At 42.4% G+C, this 602-nt stretch overlaps 1 annotated feature.

The window, feature by feature from the left end:
- Positions 214-392: a silencer, noted in NCBI's record as "fragment chr12:60536488-60536666 (GRCh37/hg19 assembly coordinates)". NCBI's record gives its function as "represses an EF-1alpha promoter that drives an FKBP-Casp9 reporter gene in an ReSE screen in HepG2 liver carcinoma cells {active_cell/tissue: HepG2}" and the evidence as "EXISTENCE:reporter gene assay evidence [ECO:0000049][PMID:32094911]".

Raw genomic sequence — 602 nt, 5'->3', positions numbered from 1 at the left:
GGCCCCAGTTTCATTAGAAAGTGCCACCAGAAAGATTAAGGCTAAAAATGCTAAAAATGTATCCATGCAGATTAGATTATAAACCACAGGGAATAAACCTCAAAGTACATTTGATTTCAGCCTGGCCAACATGGTGAAACCCCGTCTGTACTAAAAACACAAAAATTAGCTGGGCGTGGTGGCATGCGCCTATAATCCCAGCTATTCAGGAGGCTGAGGCAGGAGAATCGCTTGAACCCAGGTGGCGGAGGCTGCAGTGAGTCAAGATCTCGCCATTGCACTCCAGCCTGGGTGACAAGAGCAAAACTCCGTCAAAAAAAAAAAAAGGCATTTGATTCGAAAGGAGTACGTATGCTTTAAAGACAAGGGCACAGTTTAATGAGCCAGGTAAAATTTAAAAGCTAGACATTGTTATGCGTACATTCTAGCTGTCTAGCTGGAAGCCGCTGGGGTGGAGAACATACAAAAGAAGGGAGAAGCACCCTTTGGCATTGAAGTAGTGAAAGAAACAAGAAGAAATAAGGAACATTTTAGAATCTCCAAGACAATAAACAAATCCATGAAATCAGAAGACTCACAACTACATTTCCACCAAAATCCAA

This window comes from Homo sapiens, chromosome 12 (assembly GCF_000001405.40).
Source record: "Homo sapiens chromosome 12, GRCh38.p14 Primary Assembly".
Lineage (NCBI taxonomy): Eukaryota > Metazoa > Chordata > Mammalia > Primates > Hominidae > Homo > Homo sapiens.
Note: the sequence above shows the minus strand (reverse complement) of the source record. Positions and strands in the feature narration are given on the sequence as shown.